The sequence below is a fragment of the Homo sapiens genome, chromosome 15, assembly GCF_000001405.40.
Source record: "Homo sapiens chromosome 15, GRCh38.p14 Primary Assembly".
Taxonomy (NCBI): domain Eukaryota; kingdom Metazoa; phylum Chordata; class Mammalia; order Primates; family Hominidae; genus Homo; species Homo sapiens.
This window is the reverse complement of record NC_000015.10, coordinates 34,892,116-34,914,631: the sequence shown is the minus strand read 5'-3', so window position 1 is coordinate 34,914,631 and position 22,516 is coordinate 34,892,116. Positions and strand designations below refer to the sequence as shown.

Genomic DNA, 22,516 nt, shown 5'->3' with positions numbered 1-22,516 from the left:
ACCTACTCTTGTCACTGTTGCCACAGTATTCTCAGGCAGCCTCTCTAGGGGAATGGACAGAGGATTAGGGCTGTTGCTGCACATTGCCCGGGGTGGTACATTAGAAAATCTCTGTCTCTCTACCCATAGATTCTGTGGAAGAAAGTAAATCACCAGGATTTACTTTTAGGGCCAGTTGAGTTGGTCTTGTTATTTGAGGAATTCTTCTGCATAAACTCCACTCCCCACCTGCTAGCTCATGTCTGAAATTCCTTTAGCTAAGAAAAGTCTTTCATTCTGGTAATTGTAGCAGCTCTGCATTACAAGAATTTGTAAGGTTAATTTGGTTTTATAGATATGGCTGACTTGAGGCAAATGCTCTTTATTCACTATTTCATTCACAATTTCATCAAGTATGAAATTGATGGATGTAAGTTATACATCACAAGTGATTATAAATGAGTAAAATACTATGAGATGGATTTTTATTACATTATATAATAGGACACCATGTATACATACACGATTATACTGCATTTTATGTGAAAAGCTGAACAGCTTTGGAATGTGAACTGATTCAGGTATCTTCCAGGCTTCTGCTTACTAATTATGGAGAGCTACCACAGACACTGTGATTATGATCTATTTTTTCACTTCCATGTTTTATTTCATAGAGAGTTCTATTTTTTAATTAATTGTTATGTGAAAAGTTATTCTGGGTGAGACTATAAAATACAACACAAAGCATTTTTGACTTAATAATCAGTTGAGTCAGTAGGCAGGCAAACACTGTGAAATTTGTATACCCACTGGCTGATCATTCCTGCCCACAGCTTTGCTGAAATTGTTGCCCATTGTTTGCACCCTAGGGGAGTGCTTGATCAGAAAACTTCTTTACAATTTATGGTTACCTTGAGTTTATATGCTCAGATTCTGGGCCTAATTTTGGCCATTTTGCAGACTAGCGATTTATTAACTGGCAGTTCAACAAATAGAATTCATTTATATTTTACTTAAATGCCAAGTGCAACAAAAATACTTTGAGTTCTTTTGGTCTGTTAATAAAAAAAATTTTTTTTAATTATACCATTTTCTGGCTGGGGAAGAAAATGTCACTTCTTGGAGTTAATTCATTCACACTGGTAATAATAGATTTTTCTAAATTTACATTTTTAATGCCCATCATTGAAAATTATTAAAAATGTCGAAACCTAAAAGGGGGCCAGGCTTCTTTCTGTTTCATGTATCTTGAAGATGAAAACCAGCAGAGGCATTTTTACTCATTACATGGTTCCAATGATTATGTTTTCAGGGTGCTGAAGCCCACTAACCAGCAGTAAGAGAGGATGTGCTTAAGGGCCAGAAATCTATACTTTTTAATGCTTCAAGTAGATTTTATAAGAAGAGAAAGGGGTAAGAGGAGTAGATTAGCGGTTGCTTGGGTTTGGTAACAGGGATTGACTGCAACTGGACAAGAGGGATCTTTTTAAAGATGATGGAAATGTTCCACAACTGGATTTTGTGGTGATGGATGCACAACTCTGTAAATTTACTGAGAACTATGGACTTGTATATTTATAGTGGATAAATGTTATGGTATGTAAACTATACTGCATTAAAGCTGTAAAAAATGGAGGAGGTGATAGGAAGTTGTTTCACAAGGGTTTAGCCACTAAGTAATTCCTTTTAGACATTGTCCCAATACTAACCAAGCCATTGATTGCAGAATTTTGTTTTTAATTAGTTTCTCTTTTTAATGTTATGAAGTGCTACAATTTTTTGTTGTGACATAAAGTCTTTACATAGGAGGCAGTTTATCTTTGTAGGTATGTTGTATTCTGCAGTACTTCATAACTTTGGAGTGTTGCTTCAGTTTTTATGTTACGTATTTCCCAAATACAACTTTTTAATATAAAAACTAAAGACTCGTTAGACTGACATAAGAAGAAAGAATGGGCATTGGGATGTTAGTGGTTCTGTTTATTACAACTAGCTTGTTTTTTTTTTTCCTTCCAATCCATAGCAACATCTTTTAAATGATTTAAATATGCTCTAAAGGAGGTTTTTACATAGATATTCTTTGTTTGCTTGTTTTTAATTTTTTTTGAAATTATAGCTTGTCCTAAAATGTATTTGAAACAGCTTATAGAAATACTTAAAATATAGAAAATAAAATATTAACAATTGAAATGGTCTTTATGAAGAGGATAAAAGGATAACAATATAAAATAAAACTAAGTAAAGAGGTCCTTCAGAAATGAAAGAGAAATAAAGACAGAAAAACAGAAGAGAACAAAAACTGAGAGAGTTTATGACCACTAGACTGCCTTACAATAAATGCTAAGGGAAGTTCTCCAAGCTGAAATAAAAAGCTGCCAATTTGTAACATGAAGAGACCCTGAATAGCTAAAGCAATCTTGATCAAGAAGAACAAAGCTGGAGACATCATACTTCCTGATTTCAAATTATATTACAAAGCTACAGTGGTCAAAACAGTATGTTACTGGCATAAAAACACATAGACCAACAAAAGAGAACAGAAAGCCCAGAAGTAAACCCACACTTGTACAATCATTTAATCTTCGATGCATGTGCCAAGAGTATACAATGGGGAAATGAAAATGGTCTTGGGAAAGCTAGATATCTACTTGTAAAAAAATGAAATAGGATCCCTATATTACATGATACACAAAAGTTAACTGAAGATAGATTGAAGATTTTAACGTAAGACCTGAACCCATGAAACTCCGAGAAGAAAACATAGGGGAAAAGCTCCATAACATTTGTCTTGGCAATGATTTTTGGGTGATACCAAAAGCATGGAGAACAAAAGCAAAAATAAGTAAATGGGGACCACATCAAACTGAAAAGTTTCTATACAGCAAAGGAAACAGTCAACAAAATGAAAAGGCAGCCTTACAGAATGGAAGAAAATATTTGCAAACCATGTGTCTGATTAGAAGTTAATATCCAAAATATGTAAGGAACTCATAATACTCAATAGCAGAAGACCAAATAACCCAATAAAAAATGGGTGAAGGACTTCAATACTATTTTTTGTAGGAAGACATACAAATGACAGATAGATGAAAAGGTGTTCCACATCACAAATCATCAAGGGAATGCATACCAAAACCACAATGAGATATTCAAACCTCACACCTGTTAGAATGGCTGTTATCAAAAGTCAAAAGATAACAAGTGTTTGCAAGGATGTGGAGAAAAGGGAACTCTTATACACTATTGGTGGGAATGTCAATTAGTGCAGCCATTATGGAAAGCAGTATGGAGGTTCCTCAAAAAATTAAAAAACAGAGCTATCATATGATCCAGCAAACCCACTTCTGAATGTTTATCCAAAGGAAATAAAATCACTGTCCCAAAGAGATGTCTGCACTCTTGTGTTCATTGCAGCATTATTCACAATAACCAAGATGTGGAAACAACTTAAGGGCTGAATGGATAAAGAAAATGTGAAAATGTGGTGTGTGTGTACATATATAAAAACACACAATGGGATATGATTCACCTTTTAAAAAGAAGGAAATCCTTTTTTTGACAACATGGATAAACCAGGAGTACATTATGCTAAATGTATTAAGCCAGATACAGATAGACAAAAACTGATTATCTCACTTTACATATGGAATCTAAAAAAGGCAAATTCATAGAAGCAGTAGAAGGGCAGTTATCAGGTTGTAGGTGGGGAAAATGGGGTCATGTTGGTCAAAGGGTCTAAACTTTCAGTTACAAGATACATAAGTTTGGAGATCTAATGTAAAGTATAGTGACTATAATTAATGTTTTATGTACTTGAAACTTGACAGGATAGATCTTAAGTATTCTTACCACACACACAAAAAATGCTAACTGTGTTGGTAATGATATCACAGTGTATACATAGTTTAAAACATCACATTGTATTCCTTAACTATATACAATTTTTATTTGTCAAGTATACGTCAATAAAGCTGAAATAAAACTAAGTGTGCTGGATTATTTATTTCTTTGATAAAATGGCTCAGCCCCAGAATGCTCTTATGTACATAGGGTTAGCTTTTTTCTTAGGTTGGAGAGGAGATATTCCTCTACTTCTCTTTCTTTTCTGGACCATGTTTGCCTGTTTCATGCTATCATATCCCTGTTTCATGCTATCTTATATACTTTGCATACTTTGAGAGTTAAAGGTTTTCTTTTTTTTAAGTTAAGAAATAAGAGTTACTAATATTAGGACTTAAATACTAGCTGAACAGTATTCCTACTTACTAGTTTTAACTTGTCTAAAAGTTGGGGATAAATTATTTTTTGTTTGAGTAATCATCCATTTCTTTGGTTTCAGGCAATCTGAATATGGCGGTGTAGTGTTTGGTGGTTGGGCGCGAATGGCCCAGCCCATTGTGGCTTTCACTGTCGTTGAAGTGGCCAAACCCAACATAGGTGAAAACTGGCCAACCCGAGTTCGTGCAGATGTTACCATAAATCTCAATGTCAGAGATCACATCAAAGATGAATGGGAAGGTAAGTTTGTATTTCAAAAAGTGACATTACCTTTTGCCTTGTTATGAACTTTCACTTAGAGCATTAACAAAGTACTTTTACTAAATGTTATCCTTTAAAGCTTTTATTAAGCGTTATCCTTGAAATTTGATTTAAAGAATAGCAACTTTTTTTCTAATTATTAGTTTTAAAAATACCAGGGATCATACAAGAATATTTAGGTATCTTAATACTTTAATAAAAAGTATAAAATTGCATACATATCAACGTTTTGAAAACTGAAGTTTGCAAAGCCTAGAGGAGAGCATTTTAAGTCTTAAATTTAGCAAAATAATATTTATGGATTTCTGGCATCAATATAAAAGAATAAAAATATTAGTGTTCACCAAAGAGCAGGGAGAAAGCCCACATATAACATACAAACATGCAGAGCAGTAAGGAAAATTGGTATTTTTCAAAAGATAAAAGTAGCCAAGGTGAAAAAAATAGAAATACATACACTTTGTGGAAAATAAAAATTAGGCAAGCTTAAAAAGAATATGTGGGGGTGGGCAGGGCTATAGTGAAACAATTCAGAAATAAATAATAGTTTATTTGCGCCTAAGGCAGAAAGGATAAAGAGTCAGTGAAGTCAAATGTAGTCAAGGATATATAATAATTGCAAAGAAATTAAAGGAGTTATTCCTCCTATTTTTGCTAGGCAAGATTTTAAGGATTAGAGTTCCATGTCAAAATTAATTTGTTTTGGAGGCAGATATGTTCAAAATTACTAAGTCCAATAGAGTTAAAACATCAATAAGACCTCTGCCAGAAGTGACATATGAACTGATTTCTAATAGGCAGTTTTATATTTTTCTCCCAGCTGTCCTGTGAGAGGTCTTACTTAAAGCCCTGTTTTGAGAAACAGTAGTCAGTAGGTTTTACCTCCTTTTACCTTCTTGGCATGCCAGAAGGAAAGGATGTCCCTTAATGGATCTGTTTTCAGAAATTATTACTACCAGTGTAGCTGTTTATAATCATGGGAACTATATCAAAGAATTCTGAAGGAATCCAGCAACAAAGCTAGCCAAATGTTTAACAAATGCCTACTGTAGCGGGTATAGTTTATGACAGATTGTTTTATAACCCTTGTATCCTTCAAAAGAGTTCCATCCTGGTATATTACTCATCTAGACTAATGTGCACCTTTATTATTGCTGAGCCTCGAGAAAGCCATTAAGTTGCTGGAGAAGGTCTCATATTTATTATTCCTTGAAGCTTAAGGAGATATTAAACACTGTGGGTAATAAACTGAGATAACTTACTGGGTACCCCCAGAAGTAGTAGATAGTTGGAATTTTGTTTATTTTAAAGGACTCTATAGGAATTTATAGATGAGAGGTCTGCATTTTGGTGTTAAGGAAAACAAAAGGATGTTTAAAAACAGGCCACTTCCCCCATTACTGACTGCTTTCAGAAGGACATGAGACAGTCTTTTTTTCTTTTAAACATCAGCCTCTGGTAGAATGAGAACTGGACAGGGTACATTTTGATGGGCAAGATAGGGCACAATAGGGTATTGTGGGATGAGTGATAATCTGGGGTATGATGGAGAGAAAAGTGTTTTATGGGAGGCCTGGGCCAAAAACCAGCCCCTATATTGATCACAGATAGGGTAGCCAAATAGAAAATGGAGTAAAAAGGAGAGATTCTGTAAACAATAATACATTTTTTTTTTTTTTAGACGGAGTCTCACTCTGTCGCCCAGTCTGGAGGGCAGTGGCACAATCTCGGCTCACTGCAACCTCCACCTCCTGGGTTCAAACAATTCTCTGCCTCAGCCTCCCGAGTAGCTGGGATTACAGGCACCCGCCACCACGCCCAGCTAATTTTTTGTATTTTTAGTAGAGACGGGGTTTCACCATCTTGGCCAGGCTGGTCTTGTGATCCACCTGCCTCAGCTTCCTAAAGTGCTGGGATTACAGGCGTGAGCCACCGTGCCCAGCTGAATATTGTTTTATAAAAGTAAATTTTAAAGATTATTAAACTAAATACCATAAAACATTCCTTTTGTCCCTTTGAAAAGGTGTGAACCTCAAGCCCTTATCTTCTTCAATATTCTCATTTAAAGTTAAGGAAACAGAATTCATGAAATGGAAATGCCAGATTTGCTCCAGAAAGCACAGCTAGGATAGGGTGGATACAAATGGTTGCAAGGAGAGAGACATATAGGATTTTAAAAAATGTGGATCTAAGATGTCCCAGAGTAAAGTGGTTTGTTTTAGGAAGGAACAAGAGGTCATCCCTCAGTGATGCCAAAAAGTAACTCCTATCTTGGGAGAGGATAAATGACTTCTCAGGACCACTTCTTTGGCTGTAAGACTTAGAAGTTTTAATGAGCTGTGCAGATCAGACATCACACAGGTAGTACAACTCAGAGAGTAGGATGATTCCCATTCATTCTCATTACTTCTCTTGCTGCTTTGCATAGAATTTATTGGGAAATAATTAAGTCAGTATTATGAATAGAGTTATTATTTCTACCTTTACCCATACTCTAACCAGTCCCCCAATTAAAACAAACCAAAATATTTTCAGTACTATTAGCCATATGCCCACATTGTTGATTTGATTTCATTGTGTTTGTTGTTAACAAGGTTGTGAGCAAGCAGACTGTTTACATTTACATTTATGTCATGTAATGGCTAACAAAAACATCAGAAATGGAATGAAGATTAAGTGGTGTAGCATTACATGCTGTGAGGTCTAATTTTATAATCCTTGTCTTCCAGTTTCTCTACTTTTAATAGAGCTGGGAAGCCATTTGAGTTCTTTATTGGGTCTAGTGACCAAGAAGCTGTGGACTCTGGCACAAGTCTCCTTTTTCTTGACATTCACTTATAAAAATGTTCACGATTTGCCAACTGAAACTGTATATATTCAGCCATCTTTCTCAAGATCATACCTGTAAACAATACTTTTTTGCCTTGATTAATTATTCTTGAGTTGACCTGTTTTAGTGAAATACAATTAGGCTGTCTTTGGAATGACACTGATAGATAGTTTAAACTGATATTAAAAACCTGCTAAATATGCTATAGATGGATTATATGCCAGCCATATTTTTGGTTACTTATTAAGATTGTTAAAAATAAGAATGATGACGAACATCCAATTTTGGAGCTGTAGCATGACTTGGAGGGCTTATTCAGTAATATATTCATGGCATGAATGTTTCTAATTTTAATATAAAGAAGTTTTCATTTCAATTAATGCTATGAAATATTGAGTATTAAAGATTATAGAAAAGCCCATAATTGTGTTACAATGCGATAATAATCATTGGTCACTCAACGGTATCTCTCTACCAAAGATAAGAGGTAGAGAGGCAAATAAGAATTTGCCTACAAAAGACTGAAAACAATGAAATTCTAATAAATGAAAATGTCTTTATATCTTACCAGGTCTTCGTAAGCATGATGTATGCTTTTTAATTACCGTACGTCCCACAAAACCTTATGGCACTAAGTTTGACCGGAGGAGACCTTTTATTGAGCAGGTTGGCCTGGTTTATGTCAGAGGCTGTGAAATTCAGGGCATGCTGGATGATAAAGGACGTGTCATTGAAGATGGTATGGTGACCTATATTTTTGAAAGAGTATGTGTATAGAATGATAAATTTCTTTGCCTTTTTCCCTTTTTGCTTCTTAGGTAATATTTTTTAGTTCTTTTACCTACTAAATTGACACAAAGGATTTTGTATCAAATATGTGTAGGGTACCTACCGTGCAGTTTTAGATATAGGTAACATGGTTTCTCACTGTGTCACACAGGCTGGAGTTCAGTGGCACAATCTCGGCTCACTGCAACCTCTGCCTCCTGGGTTCATGCGATTCTCCAGCCTCAGCCCTGCTAGTAGCTGGGACCATAGGCACGTGCGACCATGCCCGGTTAATTTTTGTAGAGATGGGGTTTCCCCATGTTGCCCAGGCTGGTCTCAAACTCCTGAGATCAAGCACTCCACTTGCCTCGGCCTCCCAAAGTGCTGGGATTACAGACATGAGCCGCCACCACACCCAGACAGTTTCAGAACTTCTATGTTAGATATTGGAAAGGACAGGATCTTTTTCTTTTTTTCCCCCCAAGACGGAGTTTTGCTCTGTCAACCAGGCTGGAGTGCAGTGGCGCGATCTTGGCCCACTGCAACCTCTGCCTCCCAAGTTCAAGCAATTCTGCCTCAGCCACCCCAGTAGCTGGGATTACAGGTGCCTGCCACCGCGCCTGGCTAATTTTTGTATTTTTAGTAGAGACAGAGTTTCACCATGTTGGCCAGGCTGGTCTCGAACTCTGGGACAGGATCTTTTGAAATCATCTTTATTCAAAGCTTTTTAAAATATGTAATACTTTACCATATTTTTTTTAAGAAACACTCTAAATATCTCTTACAGTTGTCCAAGCTTTTTTGTGTTCAATGATATATTTTTTCTTCTTAAATTTGACTATTTTAATTCATTGTAGTGGTGGTTCTTAATTGGGAACAATACTGTCCTGCGTTTGAAAATGCATAGTGATATTTAGGTTTTCAAATGACCGGGATAGAGGTGAGGAATGGCAGGCTCTTGGCATTAGGTAACTGTGAGCCAAGGATGCTAAACATCTGAACAGAAATAAAAGAAGGAATTATCCTGCATAAGATGCCAACTTTACCGCATTTAAAAACACTGCTTTACAAAATTAGTCAGTTATTTGATTTCTTATGTGTATCACTTATTATCCCTTTGAAATTCTTTCTTCTGTTGTCCTGACTTCCTTTATAATACTTATTATTAAATTACAACTGCATACATGTCTAGTGCTTATTTTACAATTTGGTTGTTGTACTTCTTTTGAAACTTTAGTCAGTTTATGCTATCTGTGGTTTAGAGATTATATCATTGCTAAACTGCTGATGATTAAGTTATTTATCTCTAGAATGAGAGGAAATAGGAGAAGGGAATGGAAAATGGATGGAATAAGCATAAGGCCACATAATGGAACCAAAGTTCGAGGTCTAAGACCCCCCCTTCCCCCCACCCCCCCCAAAAAAGAGGAGATATGTCAGAGAGGAAAGAAAAGGCTCTGGGCTTTCAACCATTAGTATCCTACATTTCTGTGTATGTGAAATTTCTTTTCATGCTGGTTATACTAGGTATGGAATGTGGAAGGATGAGAAAAGTGATGAACCTCTGTCAAATTAAGGAATTAATGAATAGAAAACTATGCCTTAAATTCTAAAATACATATATTTAATTAGAAAATATTTATTGAATACTTACTATATGTAAGGCAGTAGTGGGAGCTATGAGTGACAAAAGTAAAGATAAGTTCTTTGACTTCTAAGTACTCCTATTTTAGTTGAGTGTGTGTACAAATTATTGCAAGTCATGGTGTTGCATCGTAAACATTACATGACTGCTATGGAAGGAAATAGTAAGAATTTAGAGAAAGAAGAAAATACTTTCAGCATCTTAGAATTTGAAGTGGGTGAGTGGAGGGCATTCTACTTTGGGAAGAATGGTTGGAGTTAAGCCTGAACCATTTACTCACCATTTCTAGAAAAGAAATACTGTTAACTTATTTTGATATTTGAAAAATACATATTTTATTTAACAAACTTTTTCAAATTGTCCAGGACCTGAACCCAGACCCAATCTTAGAGGAGAATCAAGGACATTTAGAGTGTTTTTGGATCCAAACCAGTATCAACAAGATATGACCAATACTATACAAAATGGAGCAGAGGATGTGTATGAAACTTTTAATATAATAATGAGGAGAAAACCAAAGGAAAATAACTTTAAGGTAATTTGGGGGTATGTAACTAAAAGTACTATGTCATAATTTAAGTAACTTTTATGACATAAATACAGAGATATTTGGTTAGAGGAAGATTTGTTAAGAAAAAAATAATGACTGCTTTTATTTTTACTATAAGCAATCCTCTTAAACTTTTAACAAAATGATGAAATATAAAAATTTAAAGAAATTGATTTCTTAAATCTATTTTGTCTTTTGAGGAGTTTAAAAACTTAAAATATAGATGAATCCAAGTGTTATTCTAAAGGTCCACCTCCTTTTTTGCTTTTTGTATATTAGGTATTCAGTTAATGCCCTATTATGAAGTGAAGAAAACTTGCTTACTTGTTTACTGGGGCTTCTTTTTTGAATCAAAAGTAGGTATACTTCCAGGTCACTTTAAGAATACAGATATGGAATCTCAAGGCTCTGAATTACTATACGTTATAATATATTTTTACTCATTAGTAGGAAAGGGAGGTTTGGTGGCTCAAAGTTCTACTTTTAGAATAACTTTGTGGGGAGAAGAGTTTTAGTAAAGGATAGTTTTAAAAACCATTATTTGAAACTATATTATAAAACTTAAACATTGAACAGTTCTAGCATTTGATACATGTAGCTTTTGCAGAAAGAGTGCCTTTCTTTTCTCTTTCTCCCAAAGTGCAGTACTTCTTAGACATTCCTATCATTTTATTACTTTTATGTAACCCTGTTGTTGTGATTTTTTAAGAAAATCTTTTGAACAGCAGAACTTGTTCTTCATCTCTCCCTGTTGTTGAACACAAATGGAGATATCCTTAATTTCTCTTTATCTCATACTCTACCTCTAATCTATCAGTAAGTCTGATTAGCTCATCACCTCTGCTGATGCCATGTCCAGGACACCTTTATCTCTCATATCCCTGCCTCCTTTCTTGTCTATTCCTCCCCTTACACATGTCCACATAATGGCTGAATAATCCTTTTAAAATGTGAAGTATACCTTGATTTGATACCCCCACTTAACATTCTTTAATGGTTTCCCATCACATTAGAAAGTTCCTACCATAATCCAAAAGGCCCTCTCATTATCTGTCTTCTGGTGTCCTCTCCAACATCATTTTCTAACACTTTTTCCTATTCACTCCATGTCAGTCACACTGTCCTTTTTGCTGTTTTTTAAAATAATCCAAGACTTTTCACATGGTGTTCCTTTTACTTAGGTAATTATCCCCAGGTATTTACATAGTTCTTTTCCTCACCTGACATGGGCAACTGTTTTTCAATGTCACCTCCTAAGAGAAGCCTTCCCTGGCAACCTTACCTAAAGTAGCATCTTCCCTTCTCATCATTTTCTACCCTATTACCTTTATTTTTCCTCAGAGCCTGTATCATAACTGATGATTATACATTTGTTATGTATCTGAATTCTTCATTAGAAAGCAATGAAGCAAGCAAGTCTATGAGGGCAGGGTCTTTGTTTTGTCTGCCAGTGTATCCTTAGCACCTAGAACTGTGCCTGTTATATAGTATGTTCTTAATAAACATTTATTGAGTGATCGAAGGATGGAGAAATCTAAGAGTTTCCAAGTTTTATAGTACCTTTGACTGTCACAGTTGGTCAGTTTTCAGTAAATAAATCTCAGTTACTTCACTGAAAACTAAAACATTGTTTTCTTATATTCATTTGTTTGACTATTTAGTGCCTACTGTAAGTCAGATATTGTGCTAAGATGAAGCTTATGAAGATGAATCAGACACAACTTACACCTTTAGAGAAGCTAGAAATATAGACAGATGCCTACCATGAACAGTTAGAAGGTACCAAAAGCCATAAAAAGCCTGTGGATAAAAGTGTCCTGAAAGTTCAAAGGAGGCATTTAGTTTCTGATCCAAGAAAGAGGGGGAATGATTAACTTGCCTATGTTTAGGAAAAAAAGAATGCTCTTTTGGTTTCTTTGGTGTTTCATTATGTATCTGTGTAGCATCTCTCATTTATTGCCTTTTCTCTTTTCCAGTTTGTACAACCTGTCCTAATCTGGATACTTTATTTTTTGCCTAGACAGTTATAGTAGCCTCCTCTTTGTCTACCCTTGAGTCTCCTCATAGCCAGTCACCTGTTTTTCATGTTTCCTCCTACTGTGTGACACTGATCATTTTACTCTCCCTCTCAGAACATTTCTTTGACTTTCTATTCATGATGAAATAAATCAAAGCTCCTTCACAAATCTTTTACTTGAGTTCAATAAAAATGCCACTTTCCTCCATGAAACCTTTCCTAATGTTAAGTGTCCCCTGCATCCATCTCTCTGATTTACTGTGAACTTTGTTCCCACTGTATTTTGTAACATTCTTTACTATTTACCATTCTGCTGCTTTGTGTTACAGTTAAGGACATATTTTATCTTGCTACTAAAACTGTAATTTCCTTAGAGGGCAGAGCCCTGATCTTATTCATCATTGTTAGGTGAATATACTCATTTGGGTATTCATTCATTCACCCATTCCATATTTAAACTGTTCTAGATCCCTACTCTTGTGGGAATTATATTTTAGTAGGGATTAAACAAATGATAGTAGGGATAGTAGGGATAAAACAAATAACCAAGTACCTGAACAAGAGAATGTCAGGTACTGGTAAGTGTAAGAACATAAAGCAAGGCAACATGATTAAGGGTGTGATTAACATATACTATCTTATCGTTTTCAAAAGTTGTATAACAGTTATGATTTAAAAATGGTCGGTTTGGTTATTTTATTCTTTGAAATTAATAGCCTAGCCTCCAAATTTCTATATGTGAGATAGCTCACTTTGTTGAAATGATTTTTGGAAAGTCTAAGAATTTCCCTTGGCTTTTTGTAATTATTTTTGACAGCATATATGCTAACTACTATAATGACCTTTTGTTGTAGTCCTGATTCTTTCCTTCTGAAATTTTATTTGATATTTCCTTTATTTTTATCATTTTGTTCGCTTTTTTATTTCTTCTCACAGTCTTAATTTTAATATTTCTAAGTTGTGACGTTTCATCACAATTGAAGCATACATTAATGTGCTTCTGGTTGTGGGTGACTTTAGCATTAAAGAACTATGGAATATAAAGAGGGAAAAATTCCAGGAGTTACTGAGAGGAAGTATTTTCTTTAAGGGTTTGTTCTATATTGTTTTTTTTACTGCTGTGTCCACCTGAGTCTGGTTTTCATCCTACTCAATAGGAGTCAAATGGTAAATTTATTTATGTCATTCTGTCTAAGCGAACTCTTAACGGATAAACTGTTCTTGCTAAGTTTGGTCTTTTGTTTAACTCAGTGTGTGGTATCAGCTGAAAATATAGCTGTTGATTCAGTCTAGCCAAGCACCTGTCAGCCAGCGGAAAATAGCTTCTTGCTCTGAAACACTCGGGAATTCTGGATTAGTGCAGCCAGCTCTGCATTCCAGTAAGTGCAAATGTTGGAGATGTCATACTGACACAATCTTTTTCTGTCCTTTTACTGACAGGCTGTGCTGGAGACTATTCGGAACCTGATGAATACTGATTGTGTGGTACCTGACTGGCTGCACGATATCATTTTAGGTTATGGGGACCCAAGTAGTGCACATTATTCGAAAATGCCCAATCAGATTGCCACCCTTGATTTCAATGATACATTTCTCTCCATTGAGCATTTAAAAGCCAGCTTCCCTGGTCATAATGTTAAAGTAACTGTAGAAGACCCTGCTCTACAAATACCCCCTTTCAGGTAAAGTCAGAACTGGGTACGCTCCTCTCCAGCATTCTGTAGTCAATGTACGTTATGCCATCAGGATTGTTAGCTAAAGTGAGTTTTGAGTACTATATTTGGATTTTGTTTTAGCAGTCCCTACCTTCACCATACAATCACTGGGATAACTTTATTATATTTGAATCTATTTCTTACTGCAGAAGTTGTTTTAAGACCACAGTAAAAGTAGTCTAATACCTAATAAGGGATCAATAAATACTTATTGTCTGAAGAGAACTATATAAATATATTTATAGCATTTGACTAAAATATGTCTTGGCAGTTATGCATAGTCTGGTATGTTTCTCAACTAATGCAGCTGTGTGATGTTGAACTTTGTTTTTAGGAAAAAAATCTTTTTTTCTTTTAACTTTGCGTGCTTTCACAAATTTGAAATGTTCATAATATAGCTGGGTATGATGGCTCATGCATATAATCCCAGTGACTTCAGAGGCTAAGGCGGGAGGACTGCTTGAGGCCACGAATTCAAAACCAGCCTGGGCAACATAGCGAGACCCCATCTCTAAAAAAATTCAAAAAAGTAGCTGGGCATGGTGGCGCACACCTGTAATTTCAGGAACTCAGGAGGCTGAGGCAGGAGGATTGTGTGAACCCAGGCGTTTAAGTCTGTAGTAAGCTATGGTTGTGCCACTGTACTCCAGCCTGGGTGACAGAGGAAGACCTCATCTCTAAATAAATAAAATAAATACAATAGTCATATTTAATCTTAAATTAGGTCTGGTCTTAAAATTTAAGTGAAAACAGAACAAAGTACCTGAAATAATTGGTTGTTATTCCCTGAATTCCTTCATATGGATTAGTGGTAAGGCACTGAGTATACCTATGGGTGGTAGCCCACAGATTACTTTCTTGCCTAGAAATTAGAAAACACACAGCTTTCAACTGTATATATATATATATATAATAATAGGCCAGGTGTGGTGGCTCATACCTGTAATCCCAACACTTTGGGAGGTGAAGTTGGGAGGATTGCTTGAGGCCAGGAATTCCAGACCACCCTGGGCAACTGAGACCTCATCTCTATTAAAAAAAAAAAAATTAGCAAGATTGGTGTGTGCCTACAGTCCCAGCTATTCGGGAAGCTGAGGTGGGAGGATCACGTGAACCCAGGAGTGTGAGGCTGCAGTGAGCTATGATCACACCACTGCACTCTAGCCTGGGTGAGACAGAGCGAGACTCTATCCCAAAATAATAATTAATTCTACATTTTAAATATACGTATCCTTTATACACCCAAACCTAGTCTCCCTCCATACTTTCCTAATCCTATTTATGGCAAAGACATTTTTCTACTCCTGCATCTTGAAATCTCAGCATTATTTTTGAATCTTTTTACTCCCATAAAACTCCTGCTATATCTCAGAGATTCTGCCTTGAGGATAGTTTTTTGGATTTTTTTTTTGTTTTTGAGATGGAGTCTTGCTCTGTCGCCCAGGCTGGAGTGCAGTGGCGCGCCGTCTCTGCTCACTGCAAGCTCCGACTCCCGGGTTCACGTCAGTCTCCTGCCTCAGCCTCCGGAGTAGCTGGGACTGCAGGCGCCCGCCACCACGCCTGGCAATTTTTTTTTTGTATTTTTGGTAGAGACAGGGTTTCACCGTGTTAGCCAGGATGGTCTCGATCTGCTGACCTCGTGATCCACCCACCTTGGCCTCCCAAAGTGCTGGGATTACAGGCGTGAGCCACCGCGCCCGGCCAAGGATAGTTTTTTCGCTCTGTCACCCGGGCTGGAGTGCAGTGGCTCCATCTTGGCTCACTGCAAGCTCTGCCTCCCGGGTTCACGCCATTCTCCTGCCTCAGCCTCCTGAGTAGCTGGGACTACAGGCGCCCGCCACCACGCCCGGCTAATTTTTTGTATTTTTAGTAGAGATGGGGTTTCGCCGTGTTAGCCAGGATGGTCTCGATCTCCTGACCTCGTGATTCACCCGCCTCGGCCTCCCAAAGTGCTGGATCACAGGTGTGAGCCAACGCGCCTGGCCGAGGATAGTTTTTTCATGTGCCATTTGTACTGCTCCCTCTTTAGGCCCTCAGCAGTCTTTATGATAGCAAAATCTTTCCTCCCTGTCTCACCTCACTAGAATCCATTACATGGTTTACTGCTAGAGCTATTCACTGCCTAGCTAAAAAGCTGATATGCTCCTATTTCTTACCAAAATAAGTGCTGACCACTTAGCCTCATTGGCTCTTAGCATTCTTTGGTGTTATCTATTTTTTTAGAATGTGAAAGACAACTGGAAAAAGTACACATAGAGAATGAATTTTTTAGTTCAATTTTAGGGAGTTCATTGACTTCCCTGAGGTATCTGTGGGGAGTTACCTCCTAACCCCAGGTTATGACCCTCTGCCTTAAAAGCTTCATATTCTAGACATGTCATTATAAGGTTCCTGTCATAACAAGGCTTCTGTCTCTTCAGCCTTATTTTTCTCTACCCTATGCCCAGGCGAAATACGCTGCTTGTACTTGGCCTCTGCTGTTGCTTCTTTCTTCCAGGAATGTCTTCTCTTCCCGTCTTTGAATGTCTAAATTCTTTGAGACTCATCTTAGATGCCATCTGTCCCATGAAATTTTTTTCTGATTAAATGAAGGACAGACAATGAATAAAACACTTTACAATGCACATGAGATAATATTTAATGTTTCTTTAAATTCTCCCGTAATTCTCCGTTAACTGGGTGACTTTTTTAAATTTGAAAACTCCCAACACACGTTAGGGCTTGTAACTCGACCATTTTCAGAGTTTACATACAGATATCGTTCCTTTAAGCCAGAAATGTTTCTTACTCCTCTGATTATCGTGCATACAATGTCATGCACCAGATAGGTACTCAGTAAATCCTTGTTAATTGCAAAAATGAACAGAAGTTTTGGTCTTGTAGGATAACTTTTCCAGTAAGAAGTGGAAAAGGGAAGAAAAGGAAAGATGCGGATGTGGAAGATGAAGACACCGAGGAAGCAAAAACCTTAATTGTTGAGCCCCATGTTATTCCTAATAGGGGTCCTTATCCTTATAATCAACCCAAACGGTAATTTTACTACCTATTATAATTGTAATGATGAACAATAGTTTGCCATTTCAACTGGATTAGGAATGTTTTTAAATTTTCTGTTTCTTTTAAAACTCCACAAAACTCCTGTTTCTGAACCCTCTTTCTTTCTATTCTGTCAGTCAGCTGAATAACTGACATTTTAGGCCATTCTGTAGTCATAATATTTCAAAAAGAAACATTTTCAGGTACTATGAGAAATAAATGTTAGAGGTCTACCTTAATTTGAGCAAAGGGTTCTTACTTCATGAGCCTGTGTTACATATAGCAGTAGCCCTAATGCATGTGTGCCATAACTAGTAAATTGGCATTATATTTAGTATTAGAATGGAAACTAGAACTTTGGCACTCCAAATGAGGTCTGGGATGGGCTAAGTCCCGAAAAATAACTATAATTCCATTTTAATTGTCTGTGTTGAGGGGTAGAGGTGAAGGGAGTCATTCAGAAGAGATTGAGAGAACTGGGGTAAATACAGAGCAGATATTTAGACCACTGGTCATTGTTGTCTAAATTTGTATTATACAAAGCATCATTTATCTGTACCAACTTTTTATTTACTCTTATTTGCAGTAATACGATTCAGTTCACTCATACACAGATAGAAGCCATCCGTGCTGGAATGCAGCCTGGGCTGACTATGGTAAGAGAATTGTTACACCTGTTTGTTTGTTTGTTTGTTTGTTTTCTGAGATGGAGTTTCACTTTTGTTGCCCATGCCGGAGTGCAGTGGCGCGATCTCAGCTCACTGCAGCCTCTGCCTCCCAGGTTCAAGTGATTCTTCTGCCTAAGCCTCCCAAGTAGCTGAGATTACAGGTACCCGCCACCATGCCTGGCTAATTTTTTGTATTTTTAGTAGAGGCAGGGTTTTGCCATGTTGGCCAGTCTGGTCTCGAACTCTTGACCTCAGGTGATCCACCTGCCTCGGCCTCCCAATGTGTTGGGATTACAGGCGTGAGCCACCGCACTCAGCCACACCTTTTTTTTTTTTTTTTTAACATAGATTAAGACTAGAAGTAAGTAACAGATTTTAGAATGCGTTCTATTTCAAGTACAGCAACCCCGCTGAATTTAAGCGTTTACAAGTAAGTGTAGGTTCTTATGCATTTAGAGATCTTGCTGCTCGCTTCAGTGTTCATAAAGTTTTATTAGAACATGACTGCCCATTTTTTAAAAGTTTTGTTTTATTTTTAATTGACATGATTGTACTTATTTATGGGGTATGATGTGATGTTTTGATGACTGTATACATTGTGTAATGATCAAATCAGGGTAATTAGCAAATATATCATCCACTTGTTTTCTGCATTGCTTATGGCCACTTTTGTGCTGCAATGGCAGAGATCAGTACTTGCAACAGAGATTGCTTAGCCTGCAAAGCCGAAAATGCTTCCTCTCTGGCTCTTTACAGAAAGAGTCTGCTGACAACTGATTTAGAAGTGTGTTTAATTTTTAAGTATTTGGAGGTTTCCCTGTAATCTTCCAGTTATTGATTTCTGGTCAAAGTCTATTTTGGTCAGAGAATGTATTGTATGATTTTAATTTTTTGGTTTTTGCTTTTTAAATTTGTTAAAATTTGTTTTATGGCCCAGCATATGATCTCTCTTGGTGACTATTTCATGTGTACTTGAAAAGAATGTGTATTCTGTTGTTCTGGAGTAGGTTGTGCTATAAATGTTGATTAGATCCATTTTGTTGATGTTATTATTTAATTTTTCTCTATTATTGCTGATTTTCTGTCTGTTGTTTTGTTGATTACTGAAAGCAGACTATTGAAGTCTCTCACTGTAATTATGAATTTGTCTATTTCTCCTTTAGTTCTGTCAATTTTTGCTTAATGTATTTTGAAGCTTCATGGATAAGTGCTTCACACCTTTAGGGTTGTTATGTTGTCTTGGTGAATTGGCCCCATTTATTATTATGTAATGTCTGTCTTCATTGATGGAAGTTTTCTTTGCTCTGAAGTCTACTTTGTCTGATATTAATATCGTTACTGCAGCTTTCTTTTAAGTGGTGTTTGCACGATATTTCTTTTTCTGTCATTTTACTTCTACTTGTCGTTATATTTGAGGTGAGTTTCTTATAAACAGCATATACTTTAGGTATGTTGCTTTATCCATTCTGAGACTCTCTGTCTTTCAACTTGCGTGTTTAGACTATTCACATTTAATGCAAATTAAAGGACACATTTGGATTTAGGCCTATCATTTTTATTTATTTTCTATTTGTTCCCTTTATTTTGTATTCTTCTGTTTCCCTTTTCATGCCTTCCGTTGTGTTATTTGAATAGTTTTGAGTATTATGTTTTTATTTGTTTCATATATATATATATATATATATATATATATATATTTTTTTTTTTTTTTTTTTTTTTTTTTTTGAGACAGTCTTACTTTTTAGCCCAGGCTGAAGTGTAGTGGCACCATCTTAGCTCACTGCAACCTCTGCTTTCCAAGTGATTCTTGTGCCTCAGCCACCTGAGTAGCTGGGATTACAGGTGTGCACCACCACGGCCAGCTGATATTTTTGTATTTTTAGTAGAGAATTGGGTTTCACTGTGTTGGCCAGGCTGGTCTTGAACTCCTGGCCTCAAGTGATCTGCCTGCCTCAGCCTCCCAAAGTGCTGAGATTACAGGTGTGAGCCACTGTGCCTGGCCTATCATATTCTTTCATTATATTTTTGGGTGTAGTGTTTTCTTAGTGGCTGCTTTAGGGATTTGCAATATATTTAACTTTTCATAGCCTACTTACAATCAGTATTATGTCACTTCAGGTTGATTGGCAAATACTTACTCCCATAAAGTTTCCTTTACCTTCCTTCCCCTTTTGTATTGTAGTTGTTTTATGTGCTACATCTAAATACTTTAAGATACCATCAGATAGTAGTAGAATTTTTGCTTTCAACTGTACACATATTTTAAAGAACTCTAGAGGAAAAAAATAGCCTCTTATTATATTTGCCATTTATTCTACATTCCAGATATTCCAAGTTTCCTCTGGTAGCATTTTCTGTCTGAAGAACTTTTTAAAAAAACAAAAACAAAAACCACTTTTTATAACATGTCTACTAGATATGAGTTAGTTTTGTTTTTCTTCATGCAAGAATGTCTCTAATTCATCTTCTTAAAAGATATTTTACCTGGAGATAGAATTGTGGGTTGATAGTTCTTCCTTTTAGCACTTTAAATGTTATTACACTTCCTTCTGACTTCCATGTTTTCTGATGACAAATCCAAAGTCATTTTAAACATCTTTTTGTAATATGTAATGCATCATTTTTCTGTGGTTGCTATCAGGACTTTTTTTTTTCTTTGCTTTTTGTTTTTAACCATTTAATTGTGGTATATCTGGGCTTGGATTTCTTTGGGGTTATTCTGTTGGGGTTCACTGAGCTGCTTGAATCTGTAGATTTATGTCTTTTGCCATATTTAGGAAATTTTCAGCCATGATTTTTCTAAAATTTTGTCTATGCCATACTCTTTTTCCTTTCTGTCTTAGAATTTGTTGACATGAGTGTTAGACTTGTTAATGTTCTATAGATTCATGAGTCTCTATTTTTTTAATCTTTTTTTCTGTTATTCAGGTTGTGTAGCTTACTGATCTATCTCAAAGTTCACCAACTCTTCTTCTATCCTGTTCATTCTGTTATTGGGCCCATCTACTGAATTTGTTAATTTTATCTTTCAGGTCTGTACTTCACGTTTTCTAACAATGTGTGATAACTGTGATGACTTAGTAGTTTGCTATGTGTTCATCTTCTTTTTAGGTTGTGGGCCCACCTGGTACAGGCAAAACAGATGTGGCAGTTCAGATCATATCCAACATCTACCACAACTTCCCAGAACAGAGGACTCTAATTGTTACTCATTCCAATCAGGTAAATGACTGTGTGTGTGTGTGTGTGTGTGTGTGTGTGTGTGTGTGTGTGTGTGCACGCATGCGCATGCACATGGGTATGCAGGTTAGGGGTTGAGGGGGAGGTAAGTGTGGGACACAATAAGTTCCTCTTCAAGAAATCTAGTTTCATTATTCTTTGTTCTCCATTTTTCTGAGCCTGGCCTACCTGTTCCCTAATATATTCTGGCATGCCTAAGTCTCAGCTGGTTTGTGGCTCACATTCCTTCCCTTATTTGGGAATGCATTAGCTCCTGGTTTCCCGTGAGGACCCCCTCCTCTCCCTTGCTTCCCCATCACGCAGTGACCATATTTAGAAAAGCTTAAGTTTTAGCCAATCGGGGTAGTTTATATTGTGCGGTCTTACTCCAGCCAATGGGGAAAGGACACAGATACAGGGGCTGCATTAGGGATAGAAACCCTTCTCTCCTTTGTTCGGTGTGCTCTTGGCAAACGTGACTGACGCAGGTAGCACCCACCTGCAGAAGTAAATTGCCTTGCTGAGAAAACTTTTTGTCTGAGTGCTGGTTCTTCCTTGCAGCATTGAGCACTTGTTCCTAACATAAGGAAGGAGCAGAGGATTCATGAAATGAATGTATTAATAGATGATTTATCCTTGTATGAAAATCTGATCATAGGTACCACAAAATACCAGGAAAGGCTAATTAGTATAGATGGTCCCTGACTTTTGGTTTGACTTTTATTCTGACCTGTAATATTTTGACTTTATGATGGTGTGAAAGCAATATGAATTCAGCAGAAATTGTACTTCAAGTACCCATACAACCATTCTGTTTATCACTCTTATTTCGCTATTCAATAAATTATATGAGATAGTCAACATTTCAGTATAAAATAGGCACATTGTGTTAGATGATTTTTCCCAGGTATAAGCTAATATATGTGTTCTGAGCATGTTTTACATAGGCTAGGCTAAGCTATGGTGTTCAGTAGGTTAGGTGTGTTAAATGTGTTTTCAACTTAGGATATTTTCAACTTATGATAGATTTATTGGAATGTAACCCCATTGTAAGTTGAGGAGTATCTGCTATTGAGCTACTCTTGGATTATCACTGCTTATAATGAGATGACATTGAGAGATATATAAAAGCAATCTTTTATTTCTACTGGAGAGGGTCAATGTGAAAAAGCTAAGACTATTTGGATATATGGTTAGATATTTGGATTAAATTAAATTGCTATTTTTTCCTTCTACACTAAACTAGAACTTTTACTTGGAGATTATAAGCATTAACCCTTACTGGGAGCATTTTTCTTCATTTAGTAGAATGAATATTCCTGAAAGACTAAGGTCTAAAGTGCATTGATACTGGATTAAATTTCAAATCCATGTGAAATGTACACCTGTATTACATGAAGGGACTGTATTCTACTTTAGTCATTCTGAAGCTGTCAGAAATGAGGGAAGAACAAGTAACATTTATTAGATCTGGTATAAAATGAGACAGGCAACTCTGAGAACATCCTGAAGCATATTATGAAATTTGCATGGTAGTCAAAACCTCTGAA

General features: G+C 36.4%; 1 protein-coding gene across 1 annotated transcript in view; it reads left to right on the top strand.

Moving 5' to 3' along the window:
• The window catches only part of AQR (aquarius intron-binding spliceosomal factor), a 117,961-nt gene that overhangs the window by 55,111 nt on the left and 40,334 nt on the right, over window positions 1-22,516 (top strand). Inside the window, exons 17-23 of the mRNA NM_014691.3 lie at window positions 4,319-4,497; window positions 7,920-8,087; window positions 10,127-10,296; window positions 13,769-14,010; window positions 16,927-17,073; window positions 17,666-17,735; window positions 20,859-20,969. Of these exons, the coding sequence (NP_055506.1) occupies window positions 4,319-4,497; window positions 7,920-8,087; window positions 10,127-10,296; window positions 13,769-14,010; window positions 16,927-17,073; window positions 17,666-17,735; window positions 20,859-20,969 (1,087 nt within the window). The remainder of the gene's footprint in view (window positions 1-4,318; window positions 4,498-7,919; window positions 8,088-10,126; window positions 10,297-13,768; window positions 14,011-16,926; window positions 17,074-17,665; window positions 17,736-20,858; window positions 20,970-22,516) is intronic.